This window comes from Homo sapiens, chromosome 7 (genome assembly GCF_000001405.40).
Source record: "Homo sapiens chromosome 7, GRCh38.p14 Primary Assembly".
Classification (NCBI taxonomy): Eukaryota; Metazoa; Chordata; class Mammalia; order Primates; family Hominidae; genus Homo; species Homo sapiens.
This window is the reverse complement of record NC_000007.14, coordinates 72,764,713-72,783,119: the sequence shown is the minus strand read 5'-3', so window position 1 is coordinate 72,783,119 and position 18,407 is coordinate 72,764,713. Positions and strand designations below refer to the sequence as shown.

General features: G+C 40.3%; 1 protein-coding gene and 1 pseudogene across 3 annotated transcripts in view; one reads left to right on the top strand and one right to left on the bottom strand.

Moving 5' to 3' along the window:
• TYW1B (tRNA-yW synthesizing protein 1 homolog B) overlaps positions 1-18,407 on the top strand; it is a 253,688-nt gene that overhangs the window by 45,081 nt on the left and 190,200 nt on the right. For all 3 annotated transcript variants that reach the window (NM_001412180.1, NM_001412179.1, NM_001145440.3), the window contains exon 7: positions 5,587-5,704. In NM_001412180.1, the coding sequence (NP_001399109.1) occupies positions 5,587-5,704 (118 nt within the window). The remainder of the gene's footprint in view (positions 1-5,586; positions 5,705-18,407) is intronic.
• LOC107986723 (transmembrane protein 68-like) lies at positions 12,361-14,319 on the bottom strand (annotated as a pseudogene).

The window sequence follows — 18,407 nt, the reverse complement described above, 5'->3', positions numbered from 1 at the left end:
ACCTGAGTTTTTAATATTGAAAGTTACCAGGTTTAGAATTAGTTACTGAAAGAAATGTGGTCTAAATGTCTGGGTCTAGAAATAGCTGTCTGATAGTTTTGAGGCATTTCTTCATTTATTCAGCCAACATTTACCGAATGCCCATCCTGTGCTGGCATGGCTCCAGGTCTAGCCAGGTTAACTGTCTAGAAAAATGACCTCTGGAGAATTTGGGCATTCTATAGCCAATCTTTTCTTTTTCTTTTCTTTGAGACAGAGTCTGTTGCCCAGGCTGGAGTGCAGTGGCACCATGTCGGCTCACTGCAACCTCTGCCTCCTGGATTCAAGTGATTCTTGTGCCTCAGCCTCCCCAGTAGCTGAAATTATAGGCCTTTGCCACCATGCCTGGCTAATTTTTGTATTTTTAGTAGAAATGGGGTTTTGCCATGTTGGCCAGACTGGTCTCAAACTCCTGACCTCAGGTGATCCACCCACCTCCACCTCCCAAAGTGCTAGGATTACAGACGTGAGCCACCACAACTGGCCTAGTCAACCTTTTCTATAGGAATTGATAAGAAAAGGAATCACCTGATGGTAAAAAAGGATCAAACAATCAGAAAGACTCTTTCCCAGGAGAAATGTATGTTTTGGTAAGAAAAAGCTTGTTTGTTGTAAAACTCCTGTTTATCAGTTTCCGACTGTATAGCATTTTACCTTAAAGTCTTCAGCAAATCAGTTTTCGGCCTTGTTTTTATCCTAGGCAAAATTGGATGGTACTGTGGTTTCTGGGATGATGGTATCAAAATGAATTAAGTGGTATTGTATGATTTTTTTTAAATTTTTTTATTTTTAGAGACAGGGTCTTGCTTTGTAACCCAGGCTAGAGTGCAGTGGTGTGATCATAGCTCACCACAGCCTTGAACTCCTGGGCTCAAGTGATTCTGCCACCTCAGCCTCCCAAGTGGCTCGGATGACAGGCACGTGCCACCACACCTGGCTAATTAAAAAAAATTTTTTTTTGTAGAGCTGGGATCTCACTATGTTGCCCAGGCTGGTTTCCAACTCCTCGGCTCAACCAGTCTTCCTGCCTTGGCCTCCCAAAGTCCTGGGTTTACAGGCATGAGCCACTGCACCCAACCAGTATTATATGATATTTAAAACAAAAACAAATAAAAAACATTAGTAACACTGCTTTATACCTGTTATTCTATAAGATTCATGTAGTCCTGTCAGTTTATAAAGAATGTTTTGTGTATTCATTGCCATTTTCATAAGTGCTTAGGAAGTTAGCTCATAATTGACTTTCCTGTTTGCATGTCAGACCACTGCAGCTTGGCGAGGATATGAGTTTTCTTTCAACGCAAGTGTGATGGGTATGGGAGATGGGAGGAGTGGAAGTAGAGGTTGGAGACAGGGAGGCCATTTAGTTTGGCTTTTGCCGTCGTCCCTTAGGAGAAAGCAAGACCGTGGACAAGAACGGTGGCATTGTAGGTGGAGAGAACAGTTATGTTGGGAAATGAAACCCTAGAACTGTTTTACTGGGCAGTGGGCTCACTGCTGGATGTATATAGAAGCCAATACTGTGGCACTGGCTTTTGAAAAAAGAAAGGCTTTACTGGGAGTCGACTGGCAAGGAGATAGGAAGAAACACTCAAATCTGTCTCCCTGAGCTGGAGGCTGGGGCAGGTTTTATAGGCAGAGGGATTACCATGAGGCAATATAATTAGTGAAGTGTGATCTGATTGGATCTTGCAACGAAGTGACGCCAGGAGGTGTGATTTGATTGGAGCATGCCGTGGGGTGATGCCAAGACATGATCTGATTGGCTCATGCCCTGAGGTGATGCCGAGGCTTGCTTCTTAATTCTTTCTTTTCCCTGATCAGAGCCCTTTGGTTCTGCTTGTGGTTGACTTTTTAGTTCTGATTGCCTCTGGTATCACGCGTTGGGCACACTGGGTTCATCTGTGCTCGAGTTACCTGACCTACAACCTGGGGGTTCATGGCAACTGAAATACAACTTACTAGTTTACTGCACATAATTGAACCAGATTGGGCTAGTTATGTGGTTACAGAACTTGGCCACTCATCTTTAAATGGGATGGTACAGGAGAGGAAGAAATCAAGGTTGGCTGATTCTGGGATCTTATTTATTTCTGTTTAGGCCATGTAACAGCTATAAATGAATAAATACACAAAAATATATGGATCTTACATGGTTGTTATATTGTTACATTCTGGGCAGAGAGTAAACAATGTCTACACCTAGCAGATTAGAGTTAGAATTTGAATGGTGCATTAAACTCCCTTGCGGAGTGTTATAAACCATTACATTTCTTTTCAGAAACGAAATTACTACTGCATATGGAGGTTAGGAGTGAGCTGCCTTAGAGGGAAGGAGTGATGAATTTTGTTTGTCCTGAGTGCTCAAGACCTTTAATCATAGCCCTTATGACTGACTCTGGGGTTGCAACACTCACATTTTATAATAGATACTTTCTCTAGTGAAGGGACAGAGACAGTATTCCATGGCCGTCCTTTGGAGTCTGTTCATTTTGTAGGGGCCAGAAGTCTCTGTTTAAAACCCCAAGAGGGTGTCTGTGGAGCTTTGGGCATAGTGGTCAGAGGCCAGTGTCATGGACCTCGGTCCAGTTTTGGATTTATCTGGCCTTTGGGTTAAGCAAATAAGCTTGTGATGTTTTGTGGTGACAAGGCTTTTGAGGGCAAATACTGCCATGTCTTTTCAATTTTTTACATGATTTGTAGAGGAATTATAGAGACTCGCTATATAGAATTGCTTCAGAGAATTCAAATGCTTTCAAGGTTGAGATTTGTTCATTTTGCTTCACCACAAGACTTCTTTATCAAGCTCACACCTTTGCTTTTAGATTAAAAAAAACAAAGCAAACTACTTGGGTAGCTGAGGCGGGAGGATCGCTTGAGCCCAGGAGTTTGAGACCAGCCTGGGCGACATAGCGAGACCTCATCTCAGAAAACAAAAGGCAAAGGATTCCTTCTATTTTAAACTATCTTAACAAAATAATAACTGGAGCCTTTTTATTTGTATAAAAGGCCTAGCATTAAGCTAATTACATTTATTATAAGAACAAATGATTGATGTTTGTTTATGAATTTTTTCAGCTCCATCCAGTAATGTGTAATTAAGAACCCTATTACTGGAAGCAAAAATGTTCATTTGCCTTGCATTTTGATTATATTTAGTAATTTGGAATGCTGACTTTTAGGACAGATAGGACTTAATGCGGCTTTTTTTTTTTTTTTCTCATTTGGTACATTTGATTCTCTAAAGTACTTTTTTCACTGATGTCCTATTTCAGAGCAAGTCCCTGAAGTAACAGAGAATGTAGAGATATTGACTCCAAATTTCACTTACTTTCTGTGAGTGTTAATTTTTTTTTTTTTTTTTTTTTGAGGCAGAGTCTCTGTCGCCCAGGCTGGAGTGCAGTGGCACAGTCTTGGCTCACCGTAACCTCCGCCTCCCGGGTTCAAGCGATTTTCCTGCCTCAGCCTCCCTGGTAGCTGGGATTATAGGTGCCTGCCACCATGCCTGACTAATTTTTGTATTTTTAGTAGAGACAGGGTTTCACCATGTTAGCCAGGCTGGTCTCAAACTCCTGACCTCAGGTGATCCAGTTGCCTCAGCCTCCCATAGTGCTCGGATTACAGGCGTGAGCCAACGTGCCCGGCCACGTGTTAAAATTTTTAATCTGTTTTATATATGGGAGACATCGAATGTTCTCAAAAGTACACAGAGTGATATAGTGAATTCTTATTACCTATTGCCTGGCCTCATCAACCAGCAACTTATGGGCCATCCTCCCCTAGGTACCCTTTGTATACCCCTTTCTGTTTTAGTTTGAAGCAAATGTCAGACCTCATCTGTGAGATATTCTCATGTTAAAGTAGAAATGGTGTTACAGTGAGTCCATTCACTTATTCACCTGGGGGCTGGATGGCTGGACATTTAAAATAGACAGGGACCAAGGGTGGGCTGGGGCTTGGTGGTAGGGCCACTGCCTGGATGAGTTATTGTGAATTTCTGCAGCTGTCAGTAAGATTTGATGAGTATCTCCCCTAAAGTGTAACACAGATCTCGTGTGTTGTCTCTGAAATTATTACTCAGCACTCTGCCATTCCCAAAAAGATAGGGAGATATCCTTAAAAATATACACAAATAAACTTTTAAAAAGAGAAGAAGAAATCAGTGGACAGAGTGAATGAGGGTCATCTTGTCATATCAAGCCAGTTACAATGAATAGAAGACCAGCATGCTGCAAGGTTTTGTAACAGTAATTAAAGGTGTGCTGGTGAAATTTCCTGGTGGCCAAAGTCAACAGGAAACACAATTATTTTTATATTATCCTTTGGATTTCTTAAGTGTTTCTTTTTCTATCACTGAAGAAAAATATCCTGCATAGGATCTTCTAGAAGTAGACATTGGCCAGGAGTTTCAGACCAGCCTGGCCAACATGGGGAAACCCTGTCTCTACTAAAAATACAAAAAAATTAGCCAGGCATGGTGGTGCACGCCTGTAGTCCCAGCTACTTGGGAGGCTGAGGCATGAGAATTGCTTGAACCTGGGAGGTGGTGTTTGCAGTGAGCCAAGATCGTGCCACTGCACTCTGGCCTGGGCGACAAAGCGAGACTCTGTTTCAAAAAATAAAATAAGGGAGAGGGAACCATTGGAATGGCTGTTGGTGGTAGTGGGGTAACTTGGTCTCTGAGCTGATGGCTCTCAGGGTGGCTTAGATTACTTTTTTTATTTGTTTTTGGGGTTTAGAGATGTAATACCAGCAGCAGCTATAATTTGTTGAACGCCTATTGTACATCAGGTGTTGTGTTGTGATTTTATTTCATTTAACCTTCAACATATTTCTTCTCTGTTGCTATTATTATTTTTCCCCCTTTTCAGGTGAGGAAATTGAAATTCAGAGAAAATAAACAACTTGCTAAAGTTAGGCAGCTATCTGTACTCAGATTGCTGAAAATGTTTGACACTTAGTTAAGTGAATTGTAGATTTATGGTTTTTGGATGTGTATGTTTGAATATATAGTTACTTAACAAAAGAGCATCCTGGCATGTCTTTAGATTGTTGTCTCATTGGGATTGTGTTCACTTTGCAGAGGATGGGTTTTGTGGGCCATGGTTCATAACAGCCCTTTTTTAAAACAATTTTTAAAAATTATTTATAATTATTTATTTTTTGAGACAGAGTCTTTCTCTGTTGCCCAGGCTGGAGTATGGTGGTGTGATCTTGGCTCACTGCAACTTTCGCCTTCCGGGTTCAAGCGATTCTCCTGCCTCAGCCTCCTGAGTAGCTGGGATTACAGGTGTGAGCCACCATCCCCGGCTAATTTTTGTATTTTTAGTAGAGATGAGGTTTCGCCATGTTGGCCGGGCTGGTCTCGATCTCCTGACCTCAGGTGATCCGCCTACCCTGGCCTTCTAAAATGCTGGGATTACAGGCGTGAGCCACTATGCCCAGCCTCATAATGGACCTTTTTATTGATGCTAGGTGTTCATGATTGTGCTGTTATTTACATTGCACATTGCCAATTCTGGATTTCATTCTTTTATTTTAATGCAGAGAGAAAAGGAACAGCAGGAAGAGAAGTCTGGTTTGTTCAGGAACATGGGGAGGAATGAAGATGGTGAAAGAAGAGCTATGATAACTCCTGCTCTCCGAGAAGCCCTTACTAAACAAGGTGAAAATCTTCAAGAATTGTTGTTATATGACTATAGTCTTAGGCATTCTCATTTGATACCTAGAATGAAGTCTCTCTCTAATTAGCTCAGCAGCTGTTCATAGTGGCAGATATAACAGTCTAAAGATTTACCTTCTTACTTCTGTGGATCGCTTCTGTTGGCTGCCTGCACCAGTGAGTTACCTTTTTTCTTGGTTTATTGGGATATTACTATCAGTGTGGGTCAAGTTCACAGATCAAAAGTGCTGTCATTGGGAAAGCTATTAAAAATGCATAGAAAAGCTTATATGATATGAGACTGGGTTAATTAGAAGTGTTTATGTAGAGGTATCGTATCTGGATTTTTGTGGTCTTACCTTATTAAGGAGGTTATAGTTGCATGAATGATTAATAATATTAGTTTCCTGTGGAGGAAAGAGTAGTAAAATGGGAATCAGTAGACCGACCTCCTTTCCTTCTTCCCCCTCCCCACTTCCCCTCTATATTTATGAGAGGCCTTTTACGTGACAGTTCTGGCAATGCAGAGAAACACAGGAAACTATATCTGCTTCAAGAAACTGTCGGTCTGGTACACTAGAGAAATATATATATATATTTGTATTTTAATATCTATGTCTATATTTTAATTAGGGTAGATTATATTAATGTGATTTCATTATAGATTTAAATTTATCTTGCTATTTTCTATTTCATCTGCTTTTTTATTTCCCTTTTCCTGTTTTTCTGTGTTCTTTCAAATTAATTCATTTTTAAAAAGTGGCTCTATTTTATATTTTGTTTGCTTACTAGCAATAACATTTTTGTTAATAGTTGCCCAAGGTTTTACACTATACCTCTTTTTTTTTTTTTTTTTTTTTTTGAGACAGAGTCTCTCTCACCCAGTCTGGAGTGCGGTGGCATAATCTTGGCTCACTGTAACCTCTGCCTCCTGGGTTCAAGTGATTCTCCTGCCTCAGCCTCCTGAGCAGCTGGGACTAGAGACATATGTCACCATGCTCAGCTAATTTTTTCGCCATGTTGGCCATGCTGGTCTTGAACTCCTGGCCTCAAGTGATCTGCCACCTCAGCCTCCCAAAGTGCTGGGATTACAGGTGTGAGCCACTGCACCTGGCCTACACCATACTACTTTATCATTTCATAGTATATCTTTGAGTGATGTTATCTCACTTAATGTGTAGAAGAACCGTACAGTACTATACTTCCATTATTTCTTTCTTAACCTGTATGTAATTTTTATCACACATTTTACTTTTACTTTTGTTTTTTGGTTGAGTCGGGTCTTGCTCTTTTGCCTAGGCTGGAGTGCAGTGGTATGATCATGGCTCGCTGTAGCCTTGAACTCCTGGGCTCAAGGAATCCTCCTGCCTCAGCCCCCTGAATAGCTGAGACTACAGGTGTAAGCCACCACACTGAGTGTTTTACGTATGCTCTAAAGCCTACACTTTATTATTATTTTTTCTTCAACAAAAATATCTATTTTTATATCTAACTCAATCAAAACATCTATTTAATTATGTACTAAAGATTTATATACTTAGAATCTTAGAATCTCACATATTTACTTTATGTAGTTACCATTTTCAGTACTCATGTAGTTACCATGTTCTATTCATGTAGGTCTGTGTTCCGTCTGGTATCCTTTTCCATCTGCCTGAAGGACTACTTGTTTTTTGTTTTTTTTTTTTCTAATTTAAACTTACCTGTGGCGACTCCAAGGACTTTTTGAAGATCTCTCATAGTGCAGGTTTGTTGGTGATGAATTCTTTCAGCTTTCGTATATCTGAAAATGGCTTTACTTTGCCTTCATTTTCTATCACTGTGTCTTCAAGTTCAGTAATTTTTTGCTGGATATAGAATTGTAGGTTGACAGCTGTTTTTTCTTTCAGTACTTTACAGATGTTACTGCACTGTCCTCTTGCTCACATTGCTTCTGATTAGAGTTCAGCAGTCATCCTTTTGTTTGTTCCTTTAAATAGGATCCTCCTTCTCCCAACCTCCTGCTACTTGGAAGATTTTCTCTTAATGCTGATTTTGAGCAATTTAATTATAATGTGCCTCAGTTTAGTTTTCTTCATGTTTCTTTTATTTGGGTTTTGTCGAGTGTCTTGGTTTTGTGGATTTATGGTCTTCATGAAATTCGGACAAATTTTGGCCATTATTTCTTCAAATATTCTCCTCCCCACCCACCCACTTGCTTCCTAGAAGACTACAGTTATATATGTAATAATCTGCTTGAATTTGACCCACAACTCACTCATGTTCTATTCATTTAAAAAAAGTTCTTTCTTCTGTCTCACTTTTCATTTTGGATAGTTTCTATTGCTATGTTTTCAAGTTCAGTTATCTTTTCTTCTGTAATGTCTCATCTTCCATTAATCCTATATAATAGGTTTTTCAACTTAGACATTGTAGTTTTCATTTCTAGAAGTTCAGTTTGGGTCTTTTTATATTTTCCACATCTGTTACCTTTTTGAGCCTATAGAATACAGTTATAACTGTTTTAATGTCCTAATCTGCTAATGTCTTTGTCATTTTTGGATCAGCTTGGATCAATGGATTTTTTTCCCTCATTCATCATGTTTTCCTGTCTGTTTGCATGCTTCATATCTTTGATTGGATGTCAGACCTAATTTTACCTTATTAGGTACTGGGTATTTTTATTTTTATTATTTATTTATTTATTTTGAGACGGAGTCTCACTCTGTTGCCCAGGCCGGAGCGCAGTGGCGTGATCTTGGCTCACTGCAACCTCTGCCTCCCAGGTTCAAGCGATTCTCCTGCCTCAAGTAATTCACCTGCCTCAGCCTCCTGAGTAACTGGCTGCCACTACCACGCCTGGCTAATTTTTTGTATTTTTAGTAGAGACGGGGTTTTACCGTGTTAGCCAGGATGGTCTCTATCTCCTGACCTCCTGATCTGCCCACCTTGGCCTCCCAAAGTGCTGGGATTACAGACTTGAGCCACGGTGCCTGGCCTGGATATTTTTATATAAACACTCTTATAAACAGTTTTAAGCTTTTTTTTTTTTTTTTTTCCCCTGGGACAAGGTTAAGTTACTTTGAAATAATATGAGCTTTTATATCTCACTTTTATGGCTTCTTAGGTGAGACAAGAGCCGGCTCAGTATAGGGCTAATTATTCTTCACTGTTGAGGCAAAACACTTCTATGTAGTCTACCTAATGCCTTGTGCATCTTTAGATTTCTAGTCTGACTGGCAGAAACAGGTACAATTCTCAGCCTGCTGTAAGCATCAGGCATTACCCCCAGTCCTTCCCTTCCTCAGTCCTTCCCTTCCTCTCTCCCTCTTTTCATTTGGGATAGTTTCTTTGTTTCTTTTTTTTTTTTTTTTTTTGAGATGGAGTTTCACTCTTGTTGCCCAGTCTGGGGTGCAGTGGTGTGGTCTTGGCTCACCACCTCCTCCTCCTGAGTTCAAGTGATTCTCCTGCCTCAGCCTCCCGAGTAGCTGGGATTACACGCATGCGCCACCACACCTGGCTAATTTTTGTATTTTTAGTAGAGACAGGGTTTCACCATGTTGGTCAGACTGTTCTCGAACTCCTGACCTCAGGTGATCCACCCGCCTTGGCCTCCCAAAGTGCTGGGATTTACAGGTGTGAGCCACCATGCCCATCCCATTTGGGATAGTTTCTATCACTGTGTCTTCAAGTTCAGTAATTGTTTCTTCTCTAAATGTCTAGTCTTCCAAAAATGGTTCTTTCCCATCCTTGGGTAGTGTTTCTCTTGTGAATGTGCTGAACAGTACTTGGGCAAATACTTGAGAGAAATCCGCTGTAGACTCTTGGAGTCTCTTTGTAGGTTTCATCTCTCTAGCTTTCAATCCTGCAAACTGTAGCCACCTTTGTCTCCCCAGGCTCTGTTGCATTTTCCAAACTCAAGAGTCCACTGGGCTTCGCTTGGGTCGTCTCTCTTTGCTACATGGCCTGGAAGGTTTCAAGACAGTAAGCTGAGGTAATGGGAGGGCTCACCTTAAGTGTTTCCTATCTCTATGGGATCACCATCTTTTGTTGCCTGATGTCTCATGTTCTGAAATCTGTTGTTTCATATATTTTGTCCATTTTTTGGTATTTCAAGTAGGATTGTAAATCCTCTCTGTTACTCCATCTTGGCTAGAAGCAGAATTCCACACTATGATTTTCAGCAACTGTACACTGTTGGCTTATATTTGTGCTGTGGTCAACTACAGATCTCTCCATTCTGTAATGTACAGTTTTTTTCTTTACCTAAATGCAAAATTTATAGAAACCTATGTATCTTGGGAGAGAAAAATATAAAGAGTTAATAGAGGATGATTTCTATGATAGTATGAACAGTATAATATGGAATTCCACGAGAGGAACTAGAATTTCTTCTGGGGATCTTTTAAATGCATATTTGGTATCAGAGATGAGTTATTCAGTTGGACTCAGTTCCACCTTCGAATATATAAGCAGTCCTTTGTTTATTTATATGCAAGATGTTTACATAAATACAGAAGAGGTTACAAGACAAAGCCCTGTAAATGTTACCTCTGGAGACTTGTAATCCAAATTGACATTGCTCCAATAATCATCACAGTGTGAATATGGATGTTTAACCAGCCACTGATCCACTTATGCTGTCATCCAGACTGTATTTCTCCATTTGCCTTATTTGCCTGCAAGAGTCTTTTTGTGAGAGTGACTCATGATAATTGTGGCTTATTACCTGAAGCCTCATGAGAAACGGTATTGAATGCTTTCTGAAATCAGAATGTACTACTTGTTTGTACTACTAGTTTGTTTAAAAAGGAAATGAGATTACTTTGGCCTGGCTTTTTCCATGCTTTTCATGTCCTATGTAGCTCAAAAATTTGAAATGACAGGTTATAGTGCTACTGAGAATTCACGTTTAAGATGTAGTTCCTAGAATTGGATTTTTCTCTCTTTGGGTCAACATTACTTTGTTTTAATCTCCCACTGACATCTGGTTCTTCATCTTCTTTCAAAGATTACTGATGATAGCTCCCCATTCATTCATTTGAAATATATCATTACTTTTGTTTTATGGCCCAGCATACCGTTCATTTTTATAAATGTTTCACTGGTCCATGAAAAGAATGTAAATTCTGTAGTTGATGAGTGCAGGGCTCTGTGTGTTTTTGGTCAAGTTTATGTGTTGTGTTGCTTACATCTTTTAGAGCTTTACCGAGTTTTTACCTATGAGATCTGTTAGAGACAGAGAGGTTAAAATCTCCTCGTATAATTTTTGGATTAATTTATTGTTTCATGATTGGGTGTGGTGGCTCACGCTTGTAATGCCAGCACTTTGGGAGGCGGAGGTAGATGGATCACTTGAGGACAGGAGTTCGAGACCAGCCTGGCCAACATGGTGAAACCCCATTCCTACTGAAAATACAAAAAAATCAGCCTGGCAGGGTGAAGCACAACTGTAGTCCCAATTACGTGGGAGTCTGAGGCATGAGAATCGTTTAAACCCGGGAGGCAGAGGTTGCAGTGAGCTGAGATCAAGACACTGCACTCCAGCCTGGGTGACAGAGCGGGACTGTCTTTAAAAAAAAAAAAAAAATCATTTCTTTATGTATTTTGAGTCTATATTATTAGATACATATAGATTTTAAATTGTTTTCTCATCTTGCTGAATTAAATCTTTAATGTTTCCAGCCATGGGTTGGTTGACTGCAATAATTTAGCAAAAAAAAAAAATTTTGCTAAATTTTAATGTCACTTTTTGATATGACGCTTTGGATCAGTCCAACTTTGTGTTCCCTGCTTTTCCACTCAGGTTATCAGTTGATTGGGAGCCACTCAGGGGTGAAGCTTTGCAGGTTTTTTTTGTTTGTTTTTATTCAGTATGTCTATTACATGCAACTTTTAAATAGCTATTATTATACACTGTCAATAAATTTACTATTTAGAGGTATAATTTACATTTAATATGCACAGATTTTTAAATGATTCTTTAAAATGAGTTCAGCAAATTTTGATAGATGTAGAACCTATATTCACCAACTCCAATTAAGATATAAGTTATTATCCCCACCCCAATGAATTTATTGTGCCCATTTCTAGTCAATAACTCCTTTTCCCTAGGGAATTCTTGTTCTAATTGCTATTACTGTTACTTAGTTTTGCCTTTTTAGAATTTTATATGAGTGGCTAGATGCAGTGGCTCACGCCTGTAATCCTAGCACTTTGGGAGGCCAGGTGGGCGGATCATTTGAGGTCGGGAGTTCGAGACCAGCCTGGCCAAAATGGTGAAACCCCGTTTCTACTAAAAATATCAAAATTAGCCAGGTGTCCTGGTGGGCGTCTGTAATCCCAGCTATTCGAGAGGCTGAGGCAGGAGAATCACTTGAACCCAGGAGGCAGAGGTTTCAGTGAGCCCAGATCGTGCCACTGCACTCCAGCCTGGGTGATAAGAGTGAGACTCCATCTCAAAAAAAAAAAAAAAAAAAAAAAAAAGGAAATTCATATGAGTGGAATCATGTAATGTGCAGTCTTTTGCAACTGGCTTCTTAAACTCAACCTATTTTTGAGATGCATCCGTGTCATATCATGTAACATGCATCAGTAGTTCATTCACTTTTATTGCTCAGTAGTATGCCATTGTATGAATATACCAGTTTTTAAAGAGCTGTAAATAGACATTTGGTCTGCTTTTAATTTTTGGCTATTATGAAAAAAAGTACTATGTGCATTCTTCACAAGACTTTGTGAATGTACATTTCAGTTTTCCTTGGGTAAATGCCTAGAAGTGCAATTGTTAAGTCATAGAGTAGGTATATATTTAACTTTAGAAGAAACTCCCAAACTGTTGTCAGTGTGGTTGTACTACTTTATACTTGCTCAGCAATTTATGAAAGTTTCATTTGTTACACATTCTCACCATCATGTGGTATTGTCTTTTAGGCATTTTTATGGTTGTGAAATGGTTGTGAAGTGGTACCTCATTGTGTTTTTTCTTTTTTCTTTTTTTTTTTTTTTTTTTGAGACGGAGTCTCACTCTGTTGCCAGCCTGGAGTACAGTGGCATGATCTTGGCTCACTGCAACCTCTGCCTCCTGGGTTCAAGTGATTCTCCTGCCTCAGCCTCCCGAGTAGCTGGGCCTACAGGCGCGCACCACCACACCCAGCTAATTTTTCTATTTTTAGTAGAGATGGGGTTTCACCATGTTAGCCAGGATGGTCTTGATCTCTTGACCTCGTGATCTGCCCACCTAGGCCTCCCAAAGTGCTGGGATTACAGGTTTGAGCCACCGTGCCTGGCCCTCATTGTGGTTTTAATTTACATTTTGCTGGTGATGGTTGATGATTGGGAACATTTTTTTTGTTTTTTTTTTTTTCGAGACAGAGTCTCGCTGTCTCACCCAGGCTGGAGTGCAGTGGTGCAATCTTGTATCACTGCACCTCTCGGGTTCAAGTGATTATCATGTCTCAGTCTCCTGAGTAAGTGGGATTACAAGCGTGTGCCAACACGCCCAGCTAAGTTTTGAATTAGTGTATTTTTAGTAGAGACAGGGTTTCACTATGTTGGCCAGGCTGGTCTCAAACTCCTGACCTCAAGTGATCCACATGCCTCAGCCTCCCAAAGTGCTGGGATTATAGGCGTGAGCCACCATGCCCAGCCAAGAACATCTTGTGTTGTGCGTATTGGCTGTTTATACTTGTGAAATGTCTGTTCACATCTTTGTTCAGACTGAGTTGTTTGACTCTATATTATTGATTTCTAGAAGTTCTTTATATGTTGTGGATGTGAATCTTTTGTTGAATGTGCACTGTGAATATTTCTCTAGACTGTGGCTTTTCTATTTCCATAAAGGTATCTTTTGAAAATTTTAATTTGGATACAGTTCACTATATCATATTTTTCTTTTATGGTTAGTGTTTTTTGTATTTCTGTGGTGCAGGACAGGAATTCTGCCAACCACAAGGTCACAAAGATATTCTAGATTTTCTTCTAGAAGCTTTGTATGTAGTTTTAATTTTTTAAAGCAGTTTTCTATAGTTTTAATTAATCAGTCTCTTACTCTTTTAGATGTGTTAAATATACATTTTCACATGTCAGCTTATAGTCTACAGTGCTGCGTGGTTCTCTGTTTAATGGAAACTAATCTCTGTGGGAAAACTCATTTTAAGGAAGACACATACATATGCACAATGCATGCAAACAGATAACAGGGAATAGTAAATATCACTTCTGTTATATTTTTCAGTATCTTCTCAGTCAATAAAATGGCATGGTAACACAGTTCCAATGCAGCACACATGAATGGCAACACAGAGATGAAAGCATCCTCGCTTACCATGCCAAACTGCTGCATGCCCATCCCACAGACTAGCCTCCGTGTTCCTTGCACCATCCCATAAATTATGAGAGTAGGCTTCTTTTAATACGTTCTTTCTCTTATAAATGTGTAGGAAAATAATAGTAAGGTAGAGAAGAAAGATAGTAAAGTAAGGAAGTATTAGAAGTGTTAATGGTGTAAAAACCCACAAGAGGTGGTTTGCAAAATTCAAATAGTCTTCCAACTGCTCCACAGTAAACCATTCTTAGAGTTTGTGAATCAGAGAAGTCATATAGGGCACAGGATCCTGTCCTGCACCACAGGTTCGATTTTTTTTTTTTTTTTGAGATGGAGTCTCGCTCTGTTGCCCAGGCTGGAATGCAGTGGCGCAATCTCGGCTCACTGCAATCTCCGCCTCCCGGGTTCATGCCATTCTTCTGCCTCAGCCTCCCAAGTAGCTGGGACTACAGGCGCCCGCCACCATGCCTGGCTAATTTTTTGTATTTTTAGTAGAGACGGGGTTTCACCATATTAGCCAGGATGGTCTCGATCTCCTGACCTCGTGATCCGCCCGCCTCGGCCTCCCAAAGTGCTGGGATTACAGGCGTGAGCCACCGCGCCTGGCCTACAGGTTTGATTTTTGTCTGTCGTTTTTCTTTAGGTGAAAATGACAAATTCAGTTTCTTTTTTCACTGCCATAGCAGGTCTTTAGTTTTGATACAGAAATTAGATAAACATATTGTCCCCAAACTTCAATGTCTGTATTCCTAGAGCGGTGGCAGGAGCTCTTCGGGGGGTCAGTGGCCGAGGGGGCGGACAGAGTTGTTTGGGCGGATTCCTCCTAAGCAACCTGTATGGAAGAAGCCATTTTTTAAAATTTTTTTTTTTTTTGAGGTAGGGTCTTGCCCTGTCATCCAGGCTATAGTGTAGTGGTGCAATTTCGGCTCACTGCAGCCTCTCACCTCCTGGGCTGAAGCGATCCTCTCTCCTCAGCCTCCCAAGTAGTGTGCCACCATGCCTGGCAAAAGTTTTTTTTGTATTTTTTGTAGAGACAGGGTTTCATCATGTTGCCCATGCTGGTTTTGAACTCTTGGACTCAAGTGATCTGCCTGCCTTGGCCTCTGAAAGTGCTGGGATTATAGGCATGAGCCACTGTGCCTGGCCCCATATGTAGTTTTAACTTTTATGTTTGGGCCTGTGATTCGTCTTGAATTAATTTTTATGAATGGTGTGAGGTAAAGGTTAAGATTTATCCCACCTCTGCCAATATGGATATCCAGTTGTTTTGGCACCATTTGTTGAAGACTTTTGTCAACCTGAATAACAAACAGAGAGGGGCTCTCTAGAAGAAAATGATGGTTATTTTGGAATAGAGCACTGCAATGTGAATATGCAAGCCACAGTAAACTGTGTTTTTGGGGAGGTACAGGAAGACAAAGTTTACTTTTTAATTTTTTATGAGTTACTATAAGTCAATGAAGACAAAGTTTTTTTTATTTTTTTATTTTTTTATTATTTTTTTGAGACGGGGTCTTGCTCTGTCACCCAGGCTGGAGTGCAGTGGTGTGATCTCAGCTTACTGCAGGCTCCGCCTCCCAGGTTCACACCATTCTCCTGCCTCAGCCTCCTGAGTAGCTGGGACTACAGGCGCCCGCCACCACACCCGGCTAATTTTTTTTTTTGTATTTTTAGTAGAGATGGGTTTCACCATGTTAGCCAGGATGGTCTCGATCTCCTGACCTCGTGATCCACCTATCTTGGTCTCCCAAAGTGCTGGTATTACAGATGTGAGCCACCGTGCCTGGCCAAAGACAAAGATTTTTAAAGGAAAAATTGAGGAGGATTATGTAATTGTTTTGAAATAATTATCCTTGGCTGCAAAGATCAATAACAGGGGTGACGGCAGTCCGAGGGTAGGCTGGCAGTTGCTGGGCAGATGACGTTGGCAGAGAAGCATTTTTTTGTGTAAGGTTGTGGTAGCCTTTGTGCAAGGTTGTGGTTTTTGTAGAGTCTTTTTCATTTTGTAGAGTCTTCAGGCACACAAGATAACTCTCCTCATGGTCTTCCCTGCTTCTGTTTTTCTTAACATTAGTGACTCCATTTTGATTTTGACAACTTTTACATTTCTTCCTTTTGATCAAGATCTTTTTCAGAAAGCATGACTGATCATTTATCCTGTAGTTATTTTTATTTATTTATTTTTTTGAGACAAAGTCTTGTTCTGTCACCCAGGCTGGAGTGCAGCGGTGTGATCTCAGCTCTCTGCAACCTCCGCCTCCTGGGTTCAAGGAATTCTCCTGCCTCAGCCTCCTGAGTAGCTGGGATTACAGGTATGCACCACCATGCCTGGGTAATTTTTGTATTTTTAGTAGAGACAGGGTTTCACCTTGTTGGCCAGGCTGGTCTTGAACTCTTGATCTCAAGTGATCCACCTGCCTTGACCTCCCAAAGTTCTGGGATTACAGGTGTGAGCCACTGCGCCTGGCCCTGTAGTTATGTTTTTTTTTTTTTTTTTTTTGAGACTGAATCTCACTCTGTTGCCCAGGCTGGTGTACAGTGGCGTGATCTTGGCTCACGGCAACCTCTGCCTTCTGGGTTCAAGTGATTCTCCTGCCTAAGCCTCCGGAGTAGCTGGGATTACAGGCAAGTGCCACCACTCCCAACTAATTTTTATATTTTCAGTAGAGACAGGGTTTTGCCACGTTGGCCAGGCTGGTCTCGAACTCCTGACCTCAAGTGATCCACCCGCCTTGGCCTCCCAAAGGTGGGATTATAGGCGTGAGCCACCGCGCCTGGCCCAGATTCAAAGTTTAAAAAGGGAAAATAAAAGGTAAACTTAATATGACAATGTCAGTTTGCATAATGGCTTTGAGTCGTGAATCTAGGCTTAAAGAAAACCAATTGAATAAGTTAAATCACCACAGGGAATTAGGTAAGACCTGCTGTAACGTTATGAGCTGTTTTGTTTTGTGTATATGGGTTTCAGCTTTCCCAGAGGAATTTATCCAGGTGTACAGCTTGTAATATTAGAAATAACGCAGACATTTTCTTATTTAATGAATCGATACAAAAGTATTTCTTAAGTTAGGTTTTGTTAAGTTACCAGCAGAGGCTGTTGATTGTAAAATTTCAATTACAAGTCTGCCAAGTGAGAAAAGTAGCATTAAGAGGAGTAAAAGTCTCATTATGATATGAAGTCTTATTCCAACCTCTTGGAGAAAGTTGTTTACAGTGTGAAAATAGCAACTTTTTCTTCCGGTTTGTAGTTTGAATATCTTTGGTCATGACATTGGGCAGTTGGGTGAACCTTTTTTGTGGTTCATAAATCAGACATGAGGCTTGTTTCTTAAAATTTATCCAGTTTCAGCCAGGTACCAGTTGGTCACACCTGAAATCCCAGCACTTTCAGAGGCCAAGGCTGGCAGATCACTTGAGGTCAGGAGTTCAAGACTAGCCTGGCCAACATTGTGAAACCCCATCTCTACTAAAAATACAAAAGTTAGATGGGTGTGGTGGTGTGTGCCTGTAGTCTCAGCTACTCGAGAGGCTGAGGCACGAGAATCATTTGAACCTAGGAGGTAGAGGTTGCAGTGAATCATGATCGCACCACTGCACTCCAGCCTGGTCGACAGAGTGAGACTCCATCTCAAAAAAAATTATCTAGTTTCAGCTAATAAAGCTTTTTAAGCCAGCTGGAGAACTGTGACCAAGTATTGGAGGAAATTAGAAGAATTCAGAATCTAGTCCAGTCTACACGTAGATAACAAGAACTTTAAAACAGTGCATGGGGCTACAATCTGTAATAAGAATAGGTATATTATAGTTTTTCTATAGAGACATAACTTTTTCTTCCCACATTGATCACACAGGAATCTCAGATTTAAAAACCTCCTGAGCTAGGAAGCCAAACCAGGGCAGATTTTAGATCTCACGTACAATCTTAAGGATCGTGAGCCTTCCAGGAAGTGACCATTTTTACTGACTCACTGGAAGTCTGGGAACTCTGGAAGCCAGGCATTCAATGCACATTTTCAAATAAGACATTTCAGCCAAAGCCTTGGTGGTATATAACCGATGTTTATATTTCCAATTGTATCCTACTTGAGAGCAGATTTTTATTGAATTTATATAAATAAAAATAAGAATAGTAACGTTTGTGAATTTTGGGAGGAATCCAATAGGAAGGAAAAGCAAATGGTTCCATCTTTGTTCACAAAAGTATACTTTACCAAATTGTTGTATACTATAGATAGCTTATGTGAGAAAAATGTCTTAAATCTGTAAGACAAAATATTTAAGTAAAGAACCAAAAATGAAAAGTCACAAACACATCATCATCATCAATTACTTAATTTGAAGTCATTAAATTTTAGTTTTGCTTGATCTTGATTAGCAGTTTTATGGAGTCAGACGCAGTAC